The following is a 26,597-nucleotide window of genomic DNA, read 5'->3' as shown; positions in this document are numbered from 1 at the left end:
CCATCCAGGATAAAGCCCTCCCAATGGCCTCTCCCAGAGGAGCCTCCCCAGGCAGGACCAGCCCCATCTTCCAGCTGGGGGCCCAAGCATCCGCTAGGGGCCTGGTCAGTAAATGAACCCAGGTCCTCAGACTAGCAGCTCAGCCACCCCTGGCCTCCATGGCCCAGAAGAAAGGTCCTGGGATGTGGGCACAGTGTCCGTGGGTCCCGGTGAGGGGGAGTGGTCCTCACCTCCGTCCACCTGACCCCAGGGCGTACAGGGGCCTCCACTGCAGGGGAGGCTCGGGTGCCAGTCTCAGCCCCAAGAGGCGCCAAGTTGAGTTTGTGGATGGGACAGAAGGGGCGTCCAAGGCCACAGCCTGACCCGACCCCGCAGCACCTGGGTTATCCCTGAGCTCCTTCTCCAAGCACCTCTAGAATCCTGTAAAATGGTTTCTAACCAATGGTTTGTGATTAACCGTCAACTGGGGAGGTGTCTTCTCAGTGGCCTGTGGTTTTCCAAGAAGCACCTGTGACCCTGTTGAGCACCTGCAAAGAGAACCTGGGCAGAGCGGGGTCCGCCTCTGTGGAACATTCCAGGAGCTCTGCCTGCCTAGCACCTGCACCCGTGCGGGGTACTCAGGCAGCTCTCGTCCCCAGGTGAGTCTGCTCTCTGGGGCCTCCAGGTTTCTGCCCACGGCTAGGATGCCCGTGTCCCACCCATCCAGGCCCCTTCCCCCAGACCCTGGGTGCTCCTCCTGCCCCACCCCAGGGCCGTGTGCACCCAGCCCTTCATCATCTCCACGCCCTGATGTGCAGAACCCTTGGTGGCCCTGGCTGGGCCTGCCCATGGCTCTCCAGCCTTGCCAGCCTATCGGGAGCCTGGGGCTGCGCCCGGGGTGGGGACAGGGGCTCCCCATTTAGCAGCCCAGACTGGAAGCCTTAGGTGGAGGTGGAGCACACACCGCTGGCCAGAGGGGGTCTGCTGCCCTGGAAAGGGTTGGGGGAGAAGTGAGCTCCCCTTACGTCTCCTATTTCCCCCTCATGCCCCTTCTTGCCCCTCCCTCACCCCCTGCAGCAGCCCCTGAGGGGTCTCAGAGCTTGAAAACCAAGCAAGGAGGAGCTTCGCTGTTACCCAAAGGCCGCTGGCCCTGCCCCTTCCTGCCTCTGCCCAGCCCTGACCACGGAGCCACCTGCTCTCCCCCTCTTCCCTGGGGCCGGCCCTGGTGTCCTCCAGGCCTTACTGAGCACAGTGCCGGGTGCTGGGTTCTGGGTGCCGGGTGCCGGGTGCTGGATGCTGCATGTGGTTTACCCCATTCCTGCCCCACCCCCGTCCAGGGCTCCTGGGGATTTTGTCCTCCTGTCCAGGTGAGGGGCATCCCCGGCCCAGCATCTGTGCATCTGGAGTCTGCACCCTGGCCTCAGAGCTGGCCTTGGTATCTTTATGGAGCTGCCCCATGTAATGACAGCGGACTGCCGGGAACAAAGCCTGACTTGTCTACAGAGCCTGTGCTGCTGCTGACAGCAAGGAGCGTTATTAAAAACCCTTTTGTCTCTGCCCCTTCTGCGGGCTCATTGACCTTCACGGGCCAAGCAAGGCACTTTGCAGCTGTATTTTGAAATGGAAGTGCTTCCAAGGAAACATTGTTTGGGGGAACATTTTTAGCAGGTGAACGAAACTCACAGTTCACCAATAGCAATCACGCCGGAGACGTTTCTCACTGTGCCCCACAGCCTCTCTGGGGCGAGCAGGCCTGGCGACAGGACACACGTCTCTGGGAGCCGGGTTTATTGGAGCCAGCGTGGACTCCCTGGGCACCCTCCCCCCAGCAGCTGTCTGCAGGAGCTGCGAGCTGCTAGCTGCGCTATCACAAATGTTAAAATGTAACTCCTCTTTGCTTTTCCTCAACCAACAGCAGCGCAGCCGAGCAAAGGTGAACTGTGTGGTGTTGATAATCTAATCGGGAGCACAGGGCCTCCCCGGGTGGGTGCCCCATTCCGATCCGCTGCCCCTGAGAGGTGGGCCTTGGGAGAGGCAGGGCTTGGACGCCCTTCCTCGGGGCAGCGGGGTGCAGGGAGAGTTCTTCTGGCTGTGAGTCCCGGAGTCCCCGACCCTGGCACCCCTTCAGCAAGGTTCTCAGGCACATCTGCCGGGGGCGCTGAGGGGACCTGAGATGGACGGGCCGGGAGGGAGGCTGAGGTAAGACCTGAGGCTGAGGTAAGACCTCAGCCTGAGGTAAGACACAGTGCTGGGGCCTCCCTTGAAGCCCGTTTGAAGTGAGGTCCCCACAGCTGTCAGAGGACACGCAGGGTGGGGGCTCCTGGGTGGGAAACAGGTAAACCTCTTGGGCGCCTGGGGCTGGAGGCCTGAGTGGTCCTGAAAAGAACATTCAGGCCAGGCGCAGTGGCTCACACCTGTAATCCCAGCACTTTCGGGGGCTGAGGCGGGTGGATCACAAGGTCAAGAGATCGAGACCATCCTGGCCAACATGGTGAAACCCCGTCTCTACTAAAGACACAAAAGCTAGCTGCATGTGGTGGCGCACGCCTGTAGTCCCAGCTCCTCTTAGGGAGGCTGAGGCAGGAGAATCACTTGGACCCAGGAGGCGGAGGTTGCAGTGAGCTGAGATTGCGCCACTGCACTCCAGCCTGGCGACACAGCGAGACTCTGTCTCAAAAATAAATAAATAAATAAATAAAAAGAAAAGAAAAGAACATTTAGTGAAAGGAGCAAGGAAGAGAAGGCATTCTGGGCAGACCCCGGCCCCCAGGGCACAGGCGTGCAGTGTTTCCCTTCCAGGGTTTGGTGGACACTTGGAGGGACCAGGTCGGGGTGTGGCCTGGGAGGGGTGGCCAAGGTCCAGGGGTCAGGGTCACTTCGGGGAAGTCCAAGGGGCAGCGCGGAGCCACCGCTGTGGACATGGGAGGAGCCTACTAGCCAGCATGGCCCAAAGGAAGGAGGGGCTGAGGGTCAGAGGTCATGGGAGAGAAGAGGGAGTGGGGCAGACCCTCTCCCAAGGCCATGGGGTGGGGGAGAAACAGCGCCTTAGGGCCTGTCCTGATCCTCCTCCAGAGCCTGCTCAGAGTGGGAGCAGCCCCTCCTCCCTTCCCCTCCACCACCCAGGCGCAGGTGCGGCCTCTCCCTGGCCCGGGGACCTGCGTGAGGTCAGCCCTCAAAGCGCTGTCCCTTCTGGCTCACCTGGGCCCAGGGTGAGGCCCGACCCCACGGTGGACCCTGAGTCACTGCAGCTTCTGTGCCCAGCTCAGGAACAGAGCAGCCTTCAAGGCCAGGACTGGGGAGGGGCTCGGCTTTTCCGGCCCTTGGACGCCACTCAACTCTTCCTGCCCGTGTGTTGGCAAAGAACTAGCACGGCCTCTGAAGCACTGAAAAGACAAGGGCTACCTCTTTTCCAGAAGGTCCCAGAGCCCACCATGAGCAGGCAGTGTTTGGGAAAAGCCCGGGGAGGTGGCAGGGGCTCCGAGGAGCGGGGGATTCTAAGGGGTTATAGCTGCGCTGAGCCCCGGGCTCCTCAGAAGCCTCAGAAGGAGAAGGGGGCTCCTTTGGGGGCATCCTCCCTGCATCCGGGGTGTTGCAGGGTGACCTCCCGTAGTGCCAGCAGGGGCGGCCCCTCGGTCTGGCCAGAGAAGCCCAGCCACTGTCCCGTATGGTGGATGTCAGGCCCAGTGCCGTGTTTCCGAAGGAGGGAAGGGGTGAGAGGCAGCAGCCAGACACCCCGCTGAGCCCGCCCCGACCCTGAGCACGTGGGAGCTGGAGACGGTGTCACACACTCGGCCTGGCTTTGGGACCATCCCTAGGGCTTCTGTGGGGAGGAGGAAGGAGGAGCAGACGTGGAAGGGCTGCCAGGGCCCCAGCAGATGGGGTCGGGGGCGGAGGAGAGCCAGGAAAGTGTGGGCGCCTGGGGGAGTCACAGATGGAGGTCTGGTACCTAGAGCCTGGAGAACGACGGCTCTCGGGACAGAGGGCCTCAGACTCTGGCACACCAGCCGTACCTATGACAAGCTCCATGGGGGAAGAACCAGGCACCTGGATGCATGGCTGTGAGGCCCCCACCCCACAGGGGCCTCAGAGGCACAGGCTCCAGGCTCCAGCGGGGAGGGCGCTGCATCCCACCCTGGGAGCATGGCTATGAGGCCCCCACCCCACAGGGGACCCAGAGGCACAGGCTCCAGGCTCCAGCGGGAAGGGCCCTGCTCCCCACCCCCATCCCCCGCCTCAGGCTTCACTGAGATGGGCCCCGGGGACCCCGGGAGCTTTCTGTGACTGCTCGGCAATGGGTTCCCCAAGGCCTGGCACAGGCTTTCCTTAGAGCCAGGCTGTGGACCCAAAGCCTTGGGCCAAGTCTCAGGACCAGATGGGCGGCTCTGGAGAGGACCCCACAGTCCAGGGTGAGGCGCGCCCCGCTGGGGGCAGCGCTGCCTGTGGAGAGGACCCCACAGTCCAGGGTGAGGCGCGCCCCGCTGGGGGCAGCACTGCCCGTGGCCGTCTCCATCCATCTCACCCTGACGCAAGGCCGGCTTCCTCTGCGTCCAGTGGTCGGGGCCTTGGAGAGGCCAGCAGGGCCCGTGGGGGTCGCGTTTCTTCCCTGTGGCATCAGCTCTTTTCCCAGCAGGCCTCTTTGCAGCTGGATGCAGCAGCCAAGCCCTGGAGTCTTTGGAAAACTGTGGCCTGGCGGGGGCCCAGGCAATGCCACCTTACAGGGGACACCCACACAGGCGGTCCCGAGGAGGGGTGTGCTGCCGCCCTGAGCTCAGCCAGGCATCACCGTGGTGTCACCGTCAGCTCGGGTGGCACCTCCCGGGCTGCCCTCTCGGCTGCCACTTCTCATGAAACTGACAGGGACTGAACACGAATGATGTGGCTTATAGCTGGGTGCCCCCACCCTGACCACAGGTGCCACGCGACGGGAGCCACATTCTCTTCCTGATTCTAACTCCACGGGTACAGAGACAGAAGCTGCCATCTTTAGAAATAAAACTTTTTTCTAACTACAAAATAATACAGTTTAATATAGGAAATGTGGAAAATGGGGTATTCGGGGTGGATATTGAGAAGAGAGAAGCAACACCAATTCTATGTGCGAGACGCTGGCACTTCCCAGCGTAGCCTTGTGTTCCTGACCCTGGGGTGGCCTGAGCGTGGCCTGTGGGGCCCGTGTCCAGGTGCGGAGGGGGCCCTGAGTCGTGCGGGGCAAGTGGTCAGGGCCCCAGGCCCAGGCTGCCTGGAGCGAGATGACTGGGCCTGGCCCCTGGGGACTTGCTCTGACAAAACCCCCCGGTCCCCACTCCTGAGCCCCTGCAGGAGCAGCCCTGGGAACATGGGGAGCAGCTCCTTCTGCCTATGTGCTCCGGACTCAGGAACTCTGGAGAGAAGAAACACAACCCCACAGGCCCCGCCTGCCTCTCCTGCAGTCTTGAGGCCCCAGGGAAAGCCCCCACTGCAGGCAGGGGGTGGGTGCCCGAGCGAGGGTGTGGGGTGAGCAGGGTCCTGGGCATGTCAGGGCTGCGTGGGACTCCAGCGGGCCGGGTGCCTCTCGCCCTGCAGGACGTGGCTGGCCTGGTCTGCCCCCAGCTGAGCCTCACCTGAGGGAGAGCTGGGGTGGGCCGCCTCGTTTACGACCGTGTAGTCGTCTTTTGCACACAAAGCCATGTGAGTCCGTACGTGAGTCCTGTGGAAAGACAAGACATGGAATAGGAGTGACGTCCGTCCCCAGGCATGAAGTGGAGAGCATCACGCTGTGTGAGTTAAACACTGGCCAAGCACGGTGTGAGTCGGAGCCGGGGACCTGGCCAGATGAGGGCTGCGTGCAGCTTTCACACCCCAGGCACGTGAGCACCGCCAAGCCCAGCCTCAGCCAGCAGCTGCTCTGCAATGTGGAGTCACCAGTGGCCCCAAGGATGGCAGGTGGGGGTGGCCTTGGGACTGAATTAGGCCGACACCCAAGGCCTCTGTTCCTTCCCGTCCCTTCTCTCCCTTCGGAGGATCAAATGAGAGTTTCTAGGAAAGAAAACATGGCCAGGCCCTCCTCCAGCGCCCAGGCAGGGCTCGAGCGGACGCCCGTGTGACCCCCACATCCCTTCTACCCCTGTAGCTCTCTGACTCTGATATCCCAGTGGGAGGAACGAGGAGGGGACGGGTGAGGAGGAGGAAGAGGAGGAGACATGAGGGTTAGGAGGAGCACATCCTGAGTTTGTGAGGCTTCACTGACCTCTGGCCTCACAAACACACACAGGCCTGAGCTCCGGATATTTCTCCTGTTCTGGAGACAGTGAGAAGTGAAAGAGAAATGGCTGCCCCTGCACCACTTACCGCGAAGGAGGCTCAAGGCTGGGGGGCCCCTCTGCCTTCCAGTGACCGCCCGTGTCACATCCTGACCCGCTCAGCAGGTGAGCTGCAGGCTGCCAATGCACTGGTGCTACTTGCCCCTCGGTGTCTGGGTGGCTTTTGTGTGGCTGCGGCAGCTTGTGGGCCCACATCCCAGGCACGGGTGGTCCTGAAGGTGCTGGGGAAGGGACATGCCCTGGGAGGCAGGATGTCCACACTAAGTGAGTTGCTCGCCTCCACTGGAGGAGAGACGGCCAGAGGCATGGATGCACGCTGACTCGTGGACGGCCGCTGTTTGACGAGACCATCAAGGAGGGAGGAGCACCCGTGGAAAGGCGTGGCAGGGTGGTCGGGGCAGAGGTGTACATCAGCCTATCCAATGCTCACGGCTGGAGGACGCCGCGCCCTGTGAATGCTCACTGAGGACCATCCCGGGCACTGGGGCTCTCCATGTGAGAATGGACAATATGCTGCCTTCCCAGCTGCCCCATCCTTCCTGCGAGAGCTTGGGGATGGGTGGCCACAGTGGCACTGGGGAGAACACGAGGGCTCCCCAGCAAGCGTTTTCTCTCATGGAGGTGGCTCTGGTCACAGCGTCACTGCAGGGCGCAGCCACGGTGGCGGCCAATGGAAACTGGGCTCTTCTTTTTCTTTTTTTTTTTGAGACAGAGTCTCGCTCTGTCACCCAGGCTGGAGTACAATGGCAGGATCTCGGCTCACTGCAACATCCACCTCCCGGGTTCAAGTGATTCTCCTGCCTCAGCCTCCTGAGTAGCTGGGATTACAGGTGCCAGCCACCACGCCCGGCTAATTTTTGTATTTTTAGTAGAGACAGGGTTTCACCATGTTGGTCAGGCTGTCTCGAACTCCTGACCTCGTGATCTGCCCGCCTTGGCCTTCTCAAAGTGCTGGGATTACAGACATGAGCCACCGCGCCCGGCCAAAACTGGGCTTTTCTACGGTGGGGAGAGCAGAGCTATTCTCTCTGGGGTGGGTGCTTGTCTGGGACTTGTCACCATCCCTTACTCCAGGGCTGTCTTCAGCACTGTCGCCCACAGTCTTTCCGAACGCCTTATTCAGATGTTATAATTTCCCACACGATGTTCCTGACCAAGAAACGCATTTTACAGCAAAGGGGTGAGGAACGGATCTGTGGCCATAGGATCCCAGAGCCGTGTCCCCGCCACTCAGGAGCAGGCGACCTGAGCAGAAGGGCTTGGCGCTGGTGGGCAGTGGGAGCCCTGCCATGGGCGGCCCGAGGGGTGGTGGGATCCCCGCCGTGGGCAACCCCGGGGGCGGTGGGAGCCACGCTGTGGGTGGGCTGGAGGCCCTACTGGGTGTGCTACCGGAAGGGAGGTCCTGACTGTGAGTCCATGTTCCTGGCATGTTGAACAAAGAATTGAGCAAAACTCACAAAACGACAAATAACAGAGTAATGAAAGCGCAGATCCTTTGCAGTGAACATGCACTCCACAAGGGGGGACGGGACTCCAGCAAGTGCTCCGGAGCCCCCATTAGGGTTTGTATTGGGCTAAAAGAATTTGGTAACACCCCCAGGTGCCCTTTCCAGGTCTCTGATTGGCTGCATCCTATGAAGACTGGCCTGCGGCCAATCAGAGGCTGAGGTGGAGACTCCTGTCTTGTTTTCCCAGGAAGGAGGCTGCGGCCTGTGTGCCGCCCAATCCAGCCAGGAACCGGTGGCACCTGCTGCCCTCCGGCTTCTGCCTTAGCCCTCGGTGACCCCATTCCCTGTTCTCCTGCCTCAGGTGCAGGGCGATGGTTCTCAGTCAACGCTGGGGCCAGAGCCGGGGCTGGGGCCGCTCGTTCTGCACAGGTCCCGGGAGTGGCGGTGAGCAATGCTCTCGCTCTCAGCGACCCACGTGCAAAGCGCTCCCTGCGCCCCCGACCCCGCAGCTTTGGGCTCTGCTGACTTCAAGGCTTCATTCTTCCTCCAGGAGAACACAGCAGGTCCCTCCGACCGCAGTCGGCCTCTCCAGCCTGCCATGCCTCTGGCCATGAGGCGACCCGCTGGAGTGATGGATTCCCGTCACTACCACCCACAGGGCGAGGGGGTGCATTGGTCTGCTTGGGCCGCTGTAACAAAATGCCACAGCCTGGATGAGTGACTGACATTGCTTCCCCACCGTTCTGGAGGCTGGAGGCCCGAGATCGAGGTCCCTGACACTATTTCAGTGATGCCAGAGCCCAGGAGGAGTCGACCAAGCCCCAGCGTGGCCATAAGCACCTTCGCAGGACCACGGAGTCGCTGCAGGTGTTCAGCCCTGTTGAGAGTGGGAGTCGGTGTCGATGGTCACAGCTCAGTAACTCATCGTCACCAGCGAGTACCACAGAGCAGACACAACTGCACTTCTCTGTAGAGCCTCCAGTCGATACTGAGAGCCACTGGGGCGTCTGACACCCAAGGGTGCAGACATTCACTCCAAGTCCAGAGACCGCGCCCTTTCTAAGGCCCTGTCTCACAGTCGCCCCGTGCTCATTGTGCCGGATGTTTCCACAGCCACAGAGACGGTGCGTGAAGGTGGGTGATTCAGGGTGGGCACTCCAGGTACAGAACCCAGAGGTGCTTCCCGCCCCCCTACCAGGCCTTACCCCCGCCCCCTCCCTCAGCAGCAGCAGGGTTGGGCCAGGGCCTTCCTTGACATCCACCATGTATTCCAGTGATAGTTTAAGTAGATCCCACACTAAATGGCCCACTAAAGACACGATTTTGCCTCGGGAAATCTTTCTGAGTTTAGTCCACATGCTGATTTCATGTTCAGGGGGTGAATGTTAAAATCTCTACTTAACAAGGTGAGGTGCAGCCTAGTGCATATGACTGACAGAAACGTGAAGCCACAGTGGACGCCTGGATGAGACACAGATCACCTTCCAAATCTGAGTGTGGCCTTGGGACCAACCAGGCAGCCAGGGAGAAGGCAGAGACCAGAGGGAACCCAGGTGCCCTCAATCCCAGCCTCCTCTATCCCAGCCTCCCAATCCCAGCCTCCCCAATCCCAGCCTCCTAATCCCAGCCTCCTCCATCCCAGGACCCCCACTCCCAGCCTCCCGATCCCAGCTTCTCTGATCCCAGCCTCCCCTAAAACCCAGACTCTATGAATCCCAGCCTCTGAGGTGGGAACTGTTAGTAACCCCACTCCATGGACAAGAAAGCTGGGGCCTGGCGAGGCTAACAGACTATCCTGATGGTGTGAGGGAGGGATCGGCCTCTGAGGGCTGCTTCCACCCATCTCACCAGTGGCTGCAGGCTCCAGGCGCCACTTTCCTTGAGTCTATGTTCTTTCCAAGCATCCTGCAGCTCCAGAAGCTCTGGAGCCGCCAGCACTGAGAGAAGCGATGGAGCTGCATGCAGGGTGAGTGTAGGACCGGGCGGAGCTGCTCTGTGGCTGGCGGGCACATTCTTTGTCAACATGAGCATCTCTCACTGTTCCTAGACCCCCTGGCTCCCCAGCTTCCTTGGAGCCAGGCGTGGCCACAGGAAAATGTTTAGGTCAATGACAGGTGAGCAAAAGTGTGAATACAACCTCCAGGAGTTTTCTTAAAGGAAGGGACAGGCCCTTCCCCTCCTCATGTCTCCTTCTGGCTGCCTGGAAGGCACATGTGAGGGCTGGAGCCTGAGCAGCCACCTTGGGCCATCAGGAGGAAGCCTGTGCTGCAATGGTAACTCAGTGACTTGGCGAGACTCACAGAGCCTGCATTCCCGACACCTGGTGCCCTATACCAGCCCCGGGCATATTCTTAGTGTGGGAGAAAAATCAGCTTTGGTCTAGCTTAAGACTCTGGGTGGGGCACGGAATGGGATAGAATGGGGAGTCCGGTTCCCCCAGCTGAGCCAGGTGACCATTCCTCAGGAAACTTTGTTGACAGCGGTGTCTGGATGGACCAGCAGAGGGCACTCTCACCCACGGGGAAAATCGTGCGCCCGGCCTCGTCCACCGCCAGAAGACGCCGCTACACAGTGAGTCATTCCACAAATCCCTGCTCTCACGGGATCTCTGGAGATAAAGGCAGTTGAGAATCGACAAATAGGACTGTTTCTCCGTTTATGAAATTTGAGCTGCCCTTAGACTTCACGGCAGAGAATATAGAGACAGTAAACCCTGGGGTTGAAGATGGGACCACGAACCTGGGGCCACCTTCTAGGGACGGGTGCTTCGTGTGGGGCATCCCGGGGAGGGGGTGCCCTGGAGCCTGAGTCAGTGCCAGGCACCTTGAGTCTAACGCTCTCAGTGCAGTTGCCTCCTTTGAAAAATAAAAGGCTTGGACAAAATAAGCTCCAAAGTCTCGTTCCGGTTTGAAATTTTTAACAAGCAGAACGAGTTCCAGTGTCACCGAGGACCTTTTGGAAATGACTTTCAGCCTCTGCCTCAGTCTCGGCATCAGTCTGCTGGGGAGGGACTGGGGGTGCTTCAGGGAGAGGGCAGCCCCCCAGCAGAGGGAGGGGAAGCAGCCCAGGGACACCCCTTGGAGGGGCCTGAGGTGGGAGATGGCACCAGCAGTGCCCCAGTGCCCACGGTACCCCAGGGGCGGCTCAGCCCCACCTGCGTCCACGTGTGTCCCTGGGCACGGGTGGGACGAGGCCCCTCGGGCTGGGTGGGGCGCTCCCCTCCTGACAGTCTGAATTGCATCCTCAAGTACTCAGACCCAGCGATTTCTCCCCGCTGGGGACATGGGGCAGCAACACAGGCATCGCGCTGGGTTTTATACAAGACACTGACTGCATTCTGGTCGCCACCCGCCTCACGGTGGAAGATGATGTGGATATGCTTTCCCAGAGGTGCCTGCGGCCAGGGCCTGTGGAGCCTCCCTACCCTCTGTCCACACCAAGTCCACTGAGCAGCGATCAGCTGGCCTGGTCCTTGGTCAGGCCAGATGCAGGCCCCTTCACCATGGTGGGCACTCTCTGCCCACCAGGCACAGGAGCTCCCAGGGTCTCTGCAGTGCGGACCCTGACGACCATCCACCCCACACGGCCGTTTCTTTCTTTCTTTTATTTTTTTGAGATGGAGTCTCGCTCTGTCGACCAGGCTGGAGTGCAATGGTGCGATCTCGGCTCACTGCAATCTCTGCCTCCCGGTGAGAGGTGAAGCCAGCTGGACTTCCTGGGTCTAGTGGGGACTTGGAGAACTTTTCTGTCTAGCTAAAGATTTGTAAATGCACCAATCAGTGCTGTGTCTAGCTAAAGTTTGTAAACGTACCAATCAGCACTCTGTAAAAATGGGCCAATCAGCACTCTGTAAAATGGACCAATCAGCACTCTGTAAAATGGACCAGTCAGCAGGATGTGGGCGGGGTCAAATAAAGGAATAAAAAGCTGGTAGCCGAGCCGGCAGTGGCAAACCGTTTGGGTCCTTCTCGGTACCCTGGTGGCTTTGTTGTTTTGCTCTTTGCAATAGATCTTGTTGCCGCTTGCTCTTTGGGGCCTCACTGCCTTTATGAGCTATAACACTCCCCGCAGAGGTCTGCAGCTTCATTCTTGAAGCCAGCGAGACCACGAACCCACTGGGAGGAACCAACAACTCCAAACGCGCCACCTGTAAGAGCTGTAACACTCCCTGTGAAGGTCTGTGGCTTCACTCCTGAAGTCAGCGAGACCAGGAACCCACCGGAAGGAACTCCGGACACAAAGAACTGCAACACTCACCCGAGGGTCTGTGGCTTCATTCTTGAAGTCAGTGAGATTAAGAACCCACCGGAAGGAACCAGTTCCGGACGTGCCGAGTTCAAGCAATTGTCCTGCCTCAGTCTCCGGAGTAACTGGGATTACAGGTGCACGCTGCCATGCCCAGCTAATTTGTATTTTAGTAGAGTCGAGGTTTCACCGCGTTGCCCAGGCTGGTCTCGAATTCCTGAGCTTGGGCAACCCACTCACCTCGGCCTCCCAAAGTGCTAGGATTACAGGCGTGAGCCACCAGGCCGGGCCCGTATGGTGGTTTCTACTCCGGACTGACTCTCCCGGGTCTTGGTCACTCTGCAGAATCCTGGACCGGAAGGGGGCCTCGGCCAGGGGAGGGCTTGCGAGGAGCCCCGGACCTACTGGCCATTATAGGGTGACGGGAAGTTCCTTGCATCCCGGGATCCCATGGCACTTGGTCAGGGAAGCCTCCCCAGAGAGGCCCAACTCCCCAGATCCAGGTGGGGAATCAGGGTACCAGCCAGGCAGTGTTCCCACCCCAGCCATGCTGCTGGCTTCCGTCCCTGTGGTGGGGTCACCCAGGTGGCTCATGCCTCCACGCACAGCCTTGTGGACACCCCCACACCGCCCATAGTCAAGTCAGAGCTCACGAGCCCACAGGGCAGATACCCGCCACGAGGGGACGGTGGGCCAGGAGGGTCCTCTGTGGGCAGCGCCGTGTTCCTGATCTCCCCAGGCTGCTGGGGGATGGGGTGGGGCAGAGGAGGCCACCTTCCCATTTCCCACTTTGCTGGGTCTCCCTCTTTGCTGGACAGTGCTGGGGCAGGTTACACACCCATGACAGTGTGAGGACTGAGGGTGCGCGTCCTGGAGCCTTCAGGGCTTGGGTGGAGGGGGCAGCTTGTCCCCCTGAGGCCTGGGCCAGAGATCCCATTCTGAATGCGGAGAGCCAAGATTCTACCTGGATCCTGGCCTTGTGGGTCACTGTGACGGCCCAGAGCTGACTTTATGTGACAGTTTGTCCTGAGATTTAAAACTGAATATTTAGACTCGTGGGATCTGGGCATCCACTTCAACCAAGGATGGGGACAGGCAGCAGGGTGGAGGGTGGACGATGCAGGAAGATGCTGTAGGACCAAGAACAAGGGGGCTGTGAGGCAAAGGAGCAGCACGAGGAGCCGTGTGTGCCCACTGCCACTTGCAGCCTCATTTCTCAACCCGACTGTGATGACTGCCGCTTGCTGGAAAGATGCTCTGAAGACACAATGAACTGACAATGCGTCACCCCGACTCCTGCCTGAGCCACTCCATTCCTTAAAGACGGTACGTGACTCACGTCCTTGCTGTGTCCTGCACGAGATAAGGTCTGGCAGGGTTGGTAATTATGCCTCTGGGATCTGTAACCAGACATTCTCTGTAACCATTCTGTATAATCTGGACGTTCTCTGTAATCCAGATGTTCTGTGTAAACTGAAGTTCTCTGTAATTGGACTTTCTCTATAACCAGTTGTCCTCTGTAACCTTCTCTATAATCCAGATGTTCTTTGCAACCAGATATTCTCTCTAACCAGACATTCTGTATAATCCAGACATTCTCTGTAACCAGATGTTTTCTATAATCCAGATTTTTTTTTTTTTTTGAGACAGTTGCACTCTTTTTGCCCAGGCTGGAGTGCAATGGTGAGATCTTGGCTCCCTGCAACCTCCACCTCCCAGGTTCAAGCGATTCTCCTGCTTCAACCTCCCTAGTAGCTGAGATTACAGGCATGCACCACCATGCTTAGCTAATTTTGTATTTTTAGTAGAGACGGGGTTTCTTCATGTTGGTCAGACTGCTCTCAAACTCCTGACCTCAGGTGATCCGCCCACCTCGGCCTCCCAAAGTGCTGGGATGACAGACGTGAGCCACCGCACCCGGCCCTGGATGTTCTTTTTAATCCAGATATTCTCTGTAATCCAGACGTTCTCTACAACCAGACATTCTCTGTAATCGGACATTCAGTACAATCCAGGCTTTCTCCGTAACCAGACGTTCTCTATAATCCAGACGTTCTCTGTAACCCACACGCAGCTCCGTGTGACTCTGCTCTTCCGTGACTTCTGCGTCTATAATCCAGACGTTCTCTGTAACCCACGTGCAGCTCCGTGTGACCCTGCTCTTCCGTGACTTCTGCGTCTATAATCCAGACGTTCTCTGTAACCCACTGCAGCTCCGTGTGACTCTGCTCTTCCGTGACTTCTGCGTCTATAATCCAGACGTTCTCTGTAACCCACTGCAGCTCCGTGTGACTCTGCTCTTCCGTGACTTCTGCATCTATAATCCAGACGTTCTCTGTAACCCACTGCAGCTCCGTGTGACTCTGCTCTTCCGTGACTTCTGCGTCTATAATCCAGACGTTCTCTGTAACCCACTGCAGCTCCGTGTGACTCTGCTCTTCCGTGACTTCTGCGTCTATAATCCAGACGTTCTCTGTAACCCACTGCAGCTCCGTGTGACTCTGCTCTTCCGTGACTTCTGCGTCTATAATCCAGACGTTCTCTGTAACCCACTGCAGCTCCGTGTGACTCTGCTCTTCCGTGACTTCTGTGCACATTTCGAGCTGCATCACCAGAGCTGTGCCAGGAGCTGGGACTGTTCCGCAGCAGCCTGACCATGTGCCTCTGAAAGACCCCTCCCGGGCTGCAGTGCTCAGAAAAACTTCCAAATAAGATGAACTTCCCTTATTTAAAAGCTTGACTCCTTTTTTAGTGGACAGGGCTATGAGCTGAGGGACACGAGACGTCCAGGACAGGAGGGCCGGCCTTGTCTCAGGCCCTGCTCCCTCACCAAAGGCTCTGTGCTCTGTTCTCCTTCTGAGCCAGCTGTCCTGAAACGGAGGCCCTTTTGTGACCCGACTTGGTCTGTTGGCGGGGGACAGACACCAAGGCCATGTCTCACACCGGTCATGGCCAGCCCCCGGCCCTCCTTCCCTCCTCCCCTCCTTCCCTGCTGTAGCCTTTAGGGTTCAGACCCTGGCTGTCCTGTCCTCATTGGGGCTGATGCCCTGCCATGCCCCCCAGGAGCCCCCGTGCTCGGCAGGCTTGGGCTGGGAGGCGCAGTCTCCAGTCTCCAGCAGACACCACCTTACCCAGGTACATGGCACTTTCCTCATTAGGGTGACATTTTCCTCATCAGTGAGGCTCTCGCCTCCTGAGTTGCACCACCCCTGCGCCAGCGTGGTTGGTCTCCAGAGTCATACATGAGCATGGCGGGCTTGCCTCCAGGAACCAGAGGGTCCTCTGGGGGTTGGGGCACAAGGGGCCGCCCTGACCTCCCCAGACCCTAATGCGATTCCCACAGCTCTCGTCCACGAAGCACCAGGCCTCGGCCACGTTTCTAATCTCGTGATCCCTCCTGGAAATCCCAGACATGACAGATCCCAACGGGGTGATGCTTGCATCACTGAACCAACCCCAGGACACCGGAGAGCTGGCCGTGTGGGGAACCCGTGGATCCACCTGGGCCCTGGAGCTGGGGATGTTGGTAGTGTGCGGGGAGGCGGCAAGGCAAGACGGGCAGGAGGAGGCAGCTCTGTCCAGGGCCCAGGCGTCCCTCACGCCGTTTCCAGGCACCCGCAGACTTCAGGAGTCTTAGTCATCGTTGGGTGTTTGGGGCTCTCTAGTCCCAGTAGGTGCTGGGACTCTCAAACCTCACAGCTACCACCCTGGTGCTATCGTTACGGACGATCGCACTTTTGAGAAAATTGGGCACCGTTGCCAGAGCAGCAGTTAGGCCTCAAGCCAACTAGGCTCCAGAGCGCCTGCCGCCAACCATCATACCACAGGGCACGGTCTCGGATATTAAACGTCTGGTTGGATACAAATCAAGACCACAATTTCTCATTGCACTGGGAGCTTCGCCACGCACCATCTCTGGGCTGACGCAACAGCCTAAGGCCCTGGGTCCCTAGAAATAGATCCTGTGTGTTGTAAGTGGGCCGGCCTGGTGGTCAGGGCTGCACACGGGGCCTCTGGGCGGTGGCTGGGGGGTGGTCATTTCAGGAAGTTGTGCGGTGGGGTCCTGTGATGGGGCGTGTGTTGGGATCTTTATGACCTTGAGAATCATGGTTTTTGAGGGAGACCAAGGCCTCTGTGTCAGGGCCAGCCTGATGGGGGTTGGGGCAACTGAGCTCAACACCAACAAGCAGAAACAGGCAAGTTATCTCTTGCTCTATGCCTCAGTTTACTCATCTGTCCATCGTAGTAACACTTGTGTTTTTAAGGATTCTGCCAAAATAGCATCATGTATATGAAATGCTTGCAGGTTCCTAGAATGGACAGTGCTGAGCAGAGATGGCTGTTGTTCTATTTCAGCAACCGAATGCCAAAAATACGGAGGAGGCAGTGCGGCATGGAGGCGGATCTGCCTTACGAAATGGGCAGGGGCCCCACGCGTGGGAAAGGGCACAGGCATTTGGAAGAGTGTGGCACTTTTTCAGGAAATGCAACATCCTTCTACTCTGTGACCCAGCGGCTCCCCCTGGTGTTTACCAGAGAGAAATGGACGCAGACATCTGCCCACATGCAGGCACAGGAAGGTTCGTGGCCGCTGTGTTTCAATATTGTAATTGCGCCAAACTGGAGATGACACAGAGTCCAGGCTCAGGAGCGTGACTGGCAGCTGTGGCACATCTGTGCCATGGAGTGCTGCTCAGCACCAGGGGCAGGGGCTGTGGACGGAGCTGTGGACGCAATGTCAGGAGCACGGTGGGCGAGGAGACGGGAAGCCGGGGGCCCTGTCCTGTGGGGTTCTGGAGCAGGCAAAGCATGCCTGGGACAGAGATGGCCAGGCCAATATTACCCCTGGGCGAGGGCCAACAGCAAGGCCAGGACCGAGCTTTCTGGGGTGGTGTTGATGCAGGTGGACGCAGCTGTCTACACGGAGTCCACCTCCCCCACTGCCAGCATCTGTCCCGGAGGGCTCGGCTCACTGGCAGTTTGTCCGCAAGGTGGTGCTCAGTCACCATGCACAGGACATTTTTGACCGAAAGTTCTGTTTTTGCCATAAGTTGCACCCTGACCACACCTGCTTCTTCTGAAAGCACCTGGTACCCAGATGTGCCCATCCCCAGCTGCATTTCCTGAGTACGAAACTTGCAGGAATTTGTAGCAGGGAGGATGGGACTAAGATTATGTGTGTGTGGAGTGGGCAGGAGCTACCAAGAGCCCTGAAACCACTCAGGGTTTTGCTTGGCCATAAAGAGCCACGGAGCCTTCTAGGTTGAGGGAGGCCTTTGTGGAGAAAGGAAGCACCTGGATCAAGAAGGTTATTTCAGTGCTTGTCATCATCACCTTCTGGACCGTAAGTGGCAGGCACACATGTTGAAAATAACAACAGAAGACAGAGGCTACTTTGACTCAGATGTCTGGGCAGGCAGGGCTGGCCAGGAAGCTGGAGGCAGGACTGACCACGGCCTCTCTCTGCAAATCTGTGTCATTTATTTCCTGACGCTGGTAGCCTGGGGGTCCCTCTGCCTGAACACCTTCTGGCTCTTCTTTTTTTTTTTTTTTTTTTGAGACGGAGTCTCGCTCTGTCGCCCAGGCTGGAGTGCAGTGGCGCGATCTCAGCTCACTGCAAGCTCCGCCTCCCGGGTTCACGCCATTCTCCTGCCTCAGCCTCCCGAGTAGCTGGGACTACAGGCGCCCGCTACCACGCCCGGCTAATTTTTTGTATTTTTAGTAGAGACGGGGTTTCACCTTGTTAGCCAGGATGGTCTCGATCTCCTGACCTCGTGATCCGCCCGCCTCGGCCTCCCAAAGTGCTGGGATTACAGGCGTGAGCCACCGCGCCCGGCCCTGGCTCTTCTTAACTGCTCTGAACCCCTGGCATCAACCTGATGGGCAGGTGCTTCCCCCATGCTTCTTCTCCCTGCACTGCCCACCCCACGACTGACCTTCCCTGGGTTCCCTACACACCCCTTCAGTGCCTCTCACTTCCCTCCTGATGGCAGACGTCTCAGGACTGCTACCTTGGGAGGTTTCCCTTTGTGTCCCCAGCCACATAAGGTATCTCATTCTCTGCACATCCCCGTACCATGAATGGATGGATTGGTGGATGGGTAGATGGATGAATGGGTGGATGGATGAATAGATGGATAGGTGGGTAGATGGATGGGTGGATGGATGAGTAGATAGGTGGGTGGTTGGGTGGGTGGATGGATGGATGGATGGATGGATGGATAGATGGGTGGGTAGGTGGATAGATTTCTATCTGAAGAGTGGGTGGATGGATGGATGGATGGATGGACAGATGAGTGGGTGGATGGATGGATTTATGGGTGAATGGAATGATGGATAGATGGATGGATGGATAGATGGGTGGGTGGGTGGATAGGTGGATGGATGGATGGATGAATGGTGGGTGGATGGATGGATGGATGAATGGATGGATAGGTGGGTGAGTGGATGGGCAGATGGATGGATGGGTGGATGGATGGATGGATGGATAGATGGGTGGGTAAGTGGATAGATAGAAGGGTGGGTGAAAGGATGGGTGGGTGGGTGGATGGATGAATGGATAGATGAGTGGGTGGGTGAGTAGGTGGATAGATGGATGGATGGGTAGATGAGTGGGTGCAAGGATGGATAGATGGTTAGGTGGATGGATGGATGGATGGATAGATGGGTGGGTTGGTGGGTAGATAAAAGGGTGGGTGAAAGGATGGGTGGATGGAAGGATGGATGTATGATTGGATGGATGGATGGATGGATGGATGGATGGACAGATGAGTGGGTGGGTGAGTGGGTGGATGGATGGATGGATGGATGGACAGATGGGTGGGTGAGTGGGTGGATGGATGGATGGATAGATGGGTGGGTGGATGGATGGATGGATGGATGGATGGGGAGATGGGTGGGTGGATTACTGGATGGATGGGTTCATGAGTGAATGAAAGAATGAGTGAATGAATGAGTAGGTGATTTGTTCCTCAGGCCCTGGAGCTGGATCTACCCTACTGTCCCTGAGTGGCCTGTGTCCCATGCACCAGTCTCTGTGAACTATGCTCCACACAGAGGCAGGAGCCTGACTCCTGAGAGATATGGGTGTAACCTCTCAGGGCGTTACTCACTGGGACCACCCAGGAGCTCCTTGCAAAGGTAAAGGCTCCTGGTCTCCCAGTAGGCGCAGCCTCAGTCTCCAGGATGTGGCCTGGGGCCAGCATTTTTCCAGCTCTGGGCGGGGCCCTTTACATCCACCTCTACGCGCCCCCTTAGAAGGGGCTGGTCTTTCCACTCAGCTCTTTGTGTCCTTAGAGGCCAAAACACCTCCTTGCACCCTAGGGGGATGACCCTGCTCTGGTGCGCCAGGGCCCTTATTTTGTGTCCCGATAAGAGAGGGCTGAACCTGGTTTTTCTTCATCAGAAGGATGGTGCGGCCAGCCTGGGAGGAGGGGCTGCCTGGGTGGAGGCTTCTGCATGGCTGTTCAAAGTGCGGCTGTGCTGGCTGCCCAGTGCCTCCTGTCTCAAGGCACAACTCTCAGGTGGACGGAGGACAGAGGCCCTGGAAACCATGGGCCCGGCTTGTCCCCACCCTGGTGCTACAGCTTCAACTCATGGACAAGAGCTCCTGCCAGTCCCCGGGCCCGCAGAGTCTCAGCTTCCTTCCTCCTTGCTCAGTGTCTGCGCTTGTGTCTGGAAAGGGCGTGAAGCAGAGGTTGTGACATTGGCCCCAGACACTCCCTCCGAGAGCCCTGTGCCCTCCCTGACCTTCATGGGCCTCTCGTCTGGGAGACACAATGTTATCTGATTGAGGAGGACTCCCCACTCCGCATCACTGCCCTCCTCCCACAGAGACACAGGGTGTCCTGCAGGGAGAAAAAGGGCCCAGCCGACTGGCTCTGCACGAAAAGTACCCTCTGGAGACGGATTTATCCGTGTGCTGGCTGTTCATGCAGCTAGAACATGTGGTCTCTGAGGCCAGCACGGGGAGCGCAAGGGACACGGGGAGCTCAAGGGACACGGGGCCACACTCCCCCCAGCGCTGGTGGCTTCATTTCAGCAAATTAGGAGCAAAAGCTTCTCAGTCAATCAGGGTGGGCCCCTGGAGGAGGTGGTGGGGTCACAAAGGTGGAGCAGCTGGCTGTGTGTGTCGGTATTTCTGTGTGTGTGTCGGTGTGTGTGTCTCCATATCTGTGTGTCTGTGTATGTCTGTGTGTATCTGTGTCTATTTCTGTGTGTATCTGTGTGTGTCTCCATATTTGTGTGTCTCCATCTGTGTCTCTGTGTATCTGCATGTCTGTGTGTATTTCTGTGTATATCTCTGTGTGTGTTTATCTGTGTGCATCTGTGTCTATGTTTGTGTGTGCACAGATCCACACTGTGAGATGAGAGTCCAGGGTGCTATGTGTCTGGTCCTGGTGGCCCAAGGGGGGCACCTGATGTCCCTGTGGATGTGACTTCCCCGGGCCTGAGTCTGTCCCCCAGTCTTTCGGACTCCCATGACCCTCAAGTGAGCCCACACCATCCTTCCCACCCACTGCCGCTTACCAGGCTGAATCCTTGGTGGGCCACAGCCCCCACCACCCGCGTGCAGCAGTGCCCAGGCCACTCACGAGGGAGACAGAGCTCACGGGCATCTGCAACCCCCTGCACTTGAGGGTCACAGGCTCCTCCTTGGGAGGCACCTCAGCGGGGCTTGGGCCAGCGTACCCCGAGCGCCTCTCGCTGGAACAGGCTGAGGCAGCCTAGAAACCCAACCTCGATGGGGAGCCCGGGGCCCACAGGGCCGCAGGATCAGGTCGCAGTGCTGGGCCAGGCCATGGGTCAGATCGCCAAGTTTCCATGTTTGCAAGTTTCAAGTGGGGCAGGTCTCACCGTGGGGAGGGGCCCGTGGGCAAGGACTGGCCCAGTGACCTTTTGGCATCAGGCAGGGCTGCAGGCCAGGAAGGCAGGCCAGGCCCACCATGGGGGTTTCTGAGCACCCTGACCCTGGGGGTACCCCAAGACTGATCTTTCAGCCCAAATCCAGGAGACCCATCTGGGATGTCACCCCTGACCCCACAGCACTGGGCACAGCTGCTCAATGAGCCAAGGTAAGAACCAGGACCATGTGCCCCTGATTGGCTACTGGAACTGGGCCGTGGACCCCACGACTGTGGTTCAGTGTCCCCATACCCCTGCCACGGCCCAGGGGAGACCACCACCCTGACCAGACCACCTTGCCTGCTCCACAGAAAAACGCGTCCAGAAATGTTACGGTTCCCTCAACCCTCAGCCCGTGACCGGCCCCCACACCTGGCTAGCCAGACCCTTGTATCGCACCTAAACTGAGCGCTGCAGGGGCCGGCCCTGGAGATGGCTCAGACCTCTGCCCCCAGGAAGTCCCCAAGGGGCAGGAGCACAGCCACCCTCCCAGTGGGGAGCCCCAGAGCTTACTGCAGAGCACAGGAGTGGGAATGGGAGGTTATAGAGACACTCTGAGGCCACCGAGAGCCCCTCCAGCACTCAAGGCCTTCCTGGCGCCCAGCCCAGCACCAAGCTGACAGCTCCAGCCGCTCACCGGCTTGCTGGGCCTAAATTCCCCTCCTCTTCTTCCTAGCAAGGTGACCGACGGCTGTGGCCCTTGGTTTGCTCCTCTATAAAATGGGGACAGCCATGGCCTCTCCCCCAGTGCTGCCATGGGAAGAAAAGAAGTTCTTACAATAAGCCCTTAGCTGCCTCCTGACAGGTGGCAAACACACCCCTTGTGCTGAGCTCATTGTTAAAGAAAGAAAGAAACAGATATCAAAAAGAAAAGAGTCTAGTGACAGGAGGGAATGTTTCGGAGGGAAGAAAAATCATTGAATCCGGCCAGTCAAAAGCCAAGTTTCTTCCTCAAGAAAAGCAGAAGTTGCCTTCGTTGGCATCCTCACTAGGCTGGGGCAGGCGCCAGCTCTCAGCCCCTGTCCCTGAACAGAACCTGCTGCCAGGTGGAGGCTGCACCCAAAAGCCAGGCCCCTGAACGTCTGGATGTTACGTTTCCGCTCTGTTCAGAGTCCCCTAGAGCCCAAATTCTACCCTAGGCCCAACCCTGTGCACATCACCCACCCTTTGCACGTCACCCACCCTGCAAAATCCCAAGGGCAGCCGCACCTTAGACACGGATTCCTTAGTCTGAGAGAGGACACACCCACCCCCCACCCCCAGGGCCTCGAAGGGCATCCTCAGATGCAGGAGGCACATGACAAATGCAGGGGTGACTAGGGGAGGGTGGCTTGGTTTCTGCTGCCCGGGAGCTTCCTCTCATCCTGTTCCAGTGGGTGGCCGCGTGGCCAGTGCTGGGTCAGCTGCCTGTCCCGTCACGGGACCCCTCGGGGTCACGGTGGCCTCAGGAGGACTGGCCGTAGGAACATGGCGAGGACACATCCTCGGGCCACGGGCAGCTGGCTTTGCTGACGTGGGGTGGGCGGCTGGCCGGCCACCAACCAGTGAGTGGGCAGGGGTCTCGGCCAGAGTGAGCGCTGGAATGGGGCTGGAGGAAGGTTCTAGAAGCAGAGAGGGTACTGGAAGAAAATGAACTCTGCTTTGGGTCATCTGCAGACCCCGGGAAGCTCCTGCTGTGGCCTTGCGTGCACAGAAAGCTGGGAGCCCCTGTGTCCGCACGGTGAGGGCGCCCCAGCTGGATGCACCTTCTGGAGCAGTGGGGATGCAGGATCCTCCCCCTCGGCTTCTGTTGTGACTTGCTCCCTGGCTGCTGTCCAGTAGCCGGGCACATGTCCAGCACCCTCCGTCGCTGGGCACTGCACATCCCAGCCACAGCCTCACCCCAACCCCTCCCGTAGCTCCTCCCTCGGCTGGGGGCCAGCAACACAAGGCCGGGCTGCCCAGCTTAGCCTGAACGTGACCTCCGTGGACGGGCAACGGCTGGGGCCCTGGAGCAGCTCCTACTCCTATAGGTCTGCCGCAGGTCCCCCACTGGCCTGGCCCTGGTGAGGGTGATCCCAGACCTGGCTGAGGGTCGGCAGATGCCCGGCCCTGCGGCGGCCGCCCCCAGCAAGGGGCTGTGCCCTGTAGCTGCGCCTTTCCTTAGGTAGCGCTGTCTCCACGGCACCCTCAACCCTGGGCCTTTGTCTCCAGGAAACGCCACTGAGCTAGCTGCTCACAAAGGGCAAATCGTGGACCAACAGACCACGCGGGAGTAGAGAGCTGAATGGGACACTTTATTTCAGCAGGCGAAGTAGCACCTTTGCAAACAAGCTGCAGAGCACCAAGGGGGAGTTTCAGGAAGCGCCTGGGCTGGAGGACACAGTGGGTGTGCACCTGGCAGCTGGAGTTACAAAGCGAGCCTGTTGTCTCTCCCACCACAGAACCTGCCCAGAGGGAGGGCCCAGCCCACAGAACCAGGGAGCAGTCTCACGCCCAGCACCGTGGGCCATGGAACAGGCTGCGGGGAGGGAGCTGGGCCACCTTCGCCTGGTCCTGGAAGTCAGGAACAAGAGCAGCATTCACAGAGGACAGGGTGTGCAGAGAATTCCCCTGCGCTGAGTCATCTCAACCTTGAGCCCGTCCTGGGGCGGAGGCACCATTGTTCTCCCAACTTCGGATGTGAGGAGGCTGAGGCCCTGGGAGGATTTACCTCGGCAAGGGGGTGCAGGACAAGTGCATCAGTCTGCTGTTGGGTCAGTAACACTGCGTAACAAGTCGAGCTGCAGTTACTTATCCCTGCTCACTGTCAGGGCCAGCTGGTCTAGGCTTATCGGCCCTTCTGGGCCGTGCTCTGGGCTGAGACCTCTCTCCAGGTCTCTCACCCTCCAGGGGCCGGCAGCCTTACCTGGGATGTGTTTCTTTTCTTTTCTTCTTTTTTTTTTGAGACGGAGTCTCGCTCTGTCACCCAGGCTGGAGTGCAGTGGCGCAATCTCGGCTCACTGCAAGCTCTGCCTCCTGGGTTCACGCCATTCTCCTGGCTCAGCCTCCTGAGTAGCTGGGACTACAGGTGCCCGCCACCACGCCCGGCTAATTTTTTGTATTTTTGGTAGAGGCGGGGTTTCACTGTTTTAGCCAGGATGGTCTCGATCTCCTGACCTTGTGATCCGCCCGCCTCGGCCTCCCAAAGTGCTGGGATTACAGGCGTGAGCCATCGCGCCTGGCCCCTGGGGTGTGTTTCTTACAGTGACAGCAGAGGCCAAGCCCAGCCTGCTTGAAATCCATTATTGATCCACTGTTGATCCAGAGCAGAGCATGCTTGTGTCCTCGGAGGGGTGGAGGGGGAAGAGAGCAGGTGTTTGCTGAACAATAATCCAAGTACCCCCCATGATCTCGAGGCAGAGGGAATGGAACCCAGCCCCCAGCAGCAGTGTCGCTGTGGCGCTGTGGTGGCACCCTGCCTGCTCTCCCACCACCCTTCAGCAGCTCCTCTCCAAAGTCTGCCCCTCCAGGACCCCGTCACGGGGTAGGGGGAGGAGGCGTCCCATCGTCCAACGTACAGTTCAGTAAATGGTGGGGAGAAAGGGTTAACATCCTCTCTCCTGCCCCTTGCCTCCACCCATCTCTGTCTCTCTCTCTCTCTCTCCCTTCCTGTCTCTCTCTGTCTCTCCCTCCCTCTCTCTGTCTCTGTCTTTCTGTCTCTATCACTCATCCTGTGTCTTCTCTCTGTCTGTTTTTCTCCCTCCCTCTCTCTGTCCCTCCCTCTCTCTGTCTCCATCTTTCTCTGTCTCTATCACTCTCCCTGTCTCTCTCCCTCCCTCTCTGTGTCTCTCTCTCCCTCTCTTTCTCTGTCTCTGTCTCTGCTCCCCACTGCACTTCCATCACTCCTCACTCCCAAAGGCTCTCCCGTTCCCTGGTCACCTACCTTGTTGAGGCTCCCCCAGGAGGGCCTCCAGGTCTGTGGTGAGACCCCAGGGATCTGACAGCAGGTGGGAGTGAAGTCATGGGAGCCCAGGTGCGGGTGACCCCTGGAGGTGACCCCTGAGTCCCTCTGACCTGGCTGCAGAATGAAGGCGGAGGTGCCTGCATGGGGCCAGACCACCCTCCTGGCCCTTGCAGTCAGTCCCCCACAGAACTTGCAGGAAAAGTGGCGAGTCTTACTGTTTGCAGATCAGACCTCAATTTTGCAAACTGACAACTGAAAAAATTAGGGGCTATAAGTAGGTTGTTAGTCAAAGAGATTAAAGTTGTCATTACAAACAGTGGAAAACAATGACACCAAGAGGCCAAGGCTGTTTTCAGGGGAAACTGTATAAGCTTCACTGTTTTCTCCATTTAGCAAGATAAACAAAAAGCATGAAGGAGTACTCAGATCAAGATGGGAGGAAAAACCGTCTTGAAACAAGAAAGTGATAGAAGCAGAATTTAAGACCTGGAGAGGAGGATAAAGCAGGAACAGCGGTTAGCCTGTGCTCAGCCTCCTGATGTCTGCAGCCATCTCCCCACTGAGGGACGCGCGTGGCCGGTGCACCTCTCCCCTGTCCTCAGCCACTCGGCGTCCACAGCCCTTGTCCTTCTTCCCATCCACTGCTCAACGTGGAGAACTTACGGGAGCCAGGCGGCATTTTTCTGTCTTTAGCATTTCATAAAAGAACCTGGATTCTTACAACCTTTCTCTCCTGCGGAGGCGTCAGACGATCAGAGCCCGTTGGGCCTCCTGTGTCTCCAGTCCTGTCTTCGGGAGGCATTCACCACAGTCCTCCCGGGACACATGCAGCCACTGTCCACGGGAGGCCAAGGTGGGCAGTGGCCGCAGTGAGCCCCATCGTTCAGGCTGACTCAGCATGGCTAGAGGCTTCTAAGGGGCTCCAGGGCCTCCCAAATTTCTGGCAGCCTCAAACCCAGGGACAGGGTGGGCAGAGGGTGTGGCTGAATGGCAGATATTGGGGCATTTGGAAATGAAAGCTGGGGACAGGCTGCCTTTGGGGCAGGAGTCCGGAGGAGCTCTCACTTGAGGAGCCTGAACAGGGGAGGCGGAAGGCCGGGAGGTGAGAGGATCTGAGTTGTGGGACCTCCTTCCTCCTCAAGTCCGTCCCAAGCCGCCTCCGGGTCTCAGGGGAGGCGTCCAGGGTCGGCCTCATGGGGTAGAGCAAGAGGCAGCACTTCAACTCCCCAGGCGGCACAGTGCTTCCCGGAGACACCAGAACCACCCTCACTTGGGTCCAGGCCACACACTCAGTTCCACCAGCAACACAGCCCTGGATATCGCCCTGGAATTTCTAGGAAATTCCAAAACAAGAACAAAGGGGTGAAAAGAAAACAGAAGAGGTAAAAATGACAAAAAAGGACAACGATATCATTACTTACAGGTTAAAAAAATTCCTTGCACGCCGGGTGCGGTGGCTCACGCCTGTAACCCCAGCACTTTGGGAGGCCGAGGTGGGCAGATCACTTGAGGTCAGGAGTTCGAGACAAGCCTGGCCACCATGGCAAAACCCCATCTCTACTAAAATACAAAAATTAGCCGGGCGTGGTTCGCACCTGTAATCTCAGCTACTCGGGAGGCTGAGGCAGCAGAATTGCTTGAACCTGGGAGTTGGAGGTTGCAGTGAGCCAAAATCGCACCACTGCACTCCAGCCTGGGTGACTGAGCAAGACTCAGTCTCCAAAACAAAACAAAACAGAACAAAAATTCCTTGCAAAATGCGAGAGGTTGAACTGGAAATGTATTTGAATAATAGGA

At 58.3% G+C, this 26,597-nt stretch overlaps 1 protein-coding gene and 1 long non-coding RNA gene across 9 annotated transcripts, besides 4 other annotated features; both read left to right on the top strand.

Moving 5' to 3' along the window:
- The first annotated feature begins 1,973 nt into the window (after window positions 1-1,973).
- Window positions 1,974-11,725, top strand: LOC124900189 (uncharacterized). Of its 8 annotated transcripts, none has more exons than XM_047417960.1 (8): window positions 1,974-2,178; window positions 4,610-5,447; window positions 5,542-6,383; window positions 6,567-6,773; window positions 8,277-8,860; window positions 9,133-9,692; window positions 10,191-10,297; window positions 11,343-11,725. In XM_047417960.1, exons 2-3 carry the CDS (start codon window positions 5,015-5,017, stop codon window positions 6,060-6,062), a joined length of 954 nt encoding a protein of 317 aa, XP_047273916.1. In that variant the 5' UTR covers window positions 1,974-2,178; window positions 4,610-5,014; the 3' UTR covers window positions 6,063-6,383; window positions 6,567-6,773; window positions 8,277-8,860; window positions 9,133-9,692; window positions 10,191-10,297; window positions 11,343-11,725. The 8 variants fall into 8 exon arrangements, with proteins under 8 accessions (XP_047273916.1, XP_047273918.1, XP_047273917.1 ...); XM_047417962.1 differs by lacking the exon at window positions 1,974-2,178 and having other exon boundaries at window positions 2,638-5,447; window positions 5,542-6,133; window positions 6,230-6,383; XM_047417961.1 differs by lacking the exon at window positions 1,974-2,178 and having other exon boundaries at window positions 2,638-5,447; window positions 6,570-6,773.
- Window positions 6,216-11,725, top strand: TERLR1 (TERT regulating lncRNA 1). The gene is made up of 5 exons (NR_109911.1): window positions 6,216-6,383; window positions 8,277-8,860; window positions 9,133-9,692; window positions 10,191-10,297; window positions 11,343-11,725. It is a non-coding gene; the product is annotated as a TERT regulating lncRNA 1 (long non-coding RNA).
- Window positions 14,818-14,987: an enhancer, noted in NCBI's record as "experimental_80773 CRE fragment used in MPRA reporter constructs". NCBI's record gives its function as "activates a minimal promoter by MPRAs in K562 erythroleukemia cells, with activity observed for both the introgressed and non-introgressed 5:1170034 or rs13177034 variant alleles {active_cell/tissue: K562}" and the evidence as "EXISTENCE:reporter gene assay evidence [ECO:0000049][PMID:34662402]".
- Window position 14,902: a transcriptional cis regulatory region, noted in NCBI's record as "Neanderthal adaptively introgressed variant 5:1170034 (GRCh37/hg19 assembly coordinates) or rs13177034 in the experimental_80773 CRE". NCBI's record gives its function as "modulates activity of the experimental_80773 enhancer by MPRAs in K562 erythroleukemia cells {active_cell/tissue: K562}" and the evidence as "EXISTENCE:reporter gene assay evidence [ECO:0000049][PMID:34662402]".
- Window positions 16,224-16,743: an enhancer, noted in NCBI's record as "H3K4me1 hESC enhancer chr5:1168193-1168712 (GRCh37/hg19 assembly coordinates)". NCBI's record gives its function as "activates a minimal SCP1, AML or CMV promoter by ChIP-STARR-seq in naive H9 embryonic stem cells {active_cell/tissue: H9 hESC(naive)}" and the evidence as "EXISTENCE:reporter gene assay evidence [ECO:0000049][PMID:30033119]".
- Window positions 16,744-17,265: an enhancer, noted in NCBI's record as "H3K4me1 hESC enhancer chr5:1167671-1168192 (GRCh37/hg19 assembly coordinates)". NCBI's record gives its function as "activates a minimal SCP1, AML or CMV promoter by ChIP-STARR-seq in naive H9 embryonic stem cells {active_cell/tissue: H9 hESC(naive)}" and the evidence as "EXISTENCE:reporter gene assay evidence [ECO:0000049][PMID:30033119]".

The sequence above is a fragment of the Homo sapiens genome, chromosome 5 (genome assembly GCF_000001405.40).
Source record: "Homo sapiens chromosome 5, GRCh38.p14 Primary Assembly".
NCBI classification, from domain to species: Eukaryota; Metazoa; Chordata; class Mammalia; order Primates; family Hominidae; genus Homo; species Homo sapiens.
Note: the sequence above shows the minus strand (reverse complement) of the source record. Positions and strands in the feature narration are given on the sequence as shown.

Bases quoted from the DNA above. Each gene is read 5' to 3' on its own strand.
- LOC124900189 (XM_047417960.1), top strand. From the start codon at position 5,015: ATGTGGAAAATGGGGTATTCGGGGTGGATATTGAGAAGAGAGAAGCAA. The intron at 5,448-5,541 runs GTGGGTGCCCGA...CTCGCCCTGCAG, and splicing joins GCCCCCACTGCAGGCAGGGG to GACGTGGCTGGCCTGGTCTG.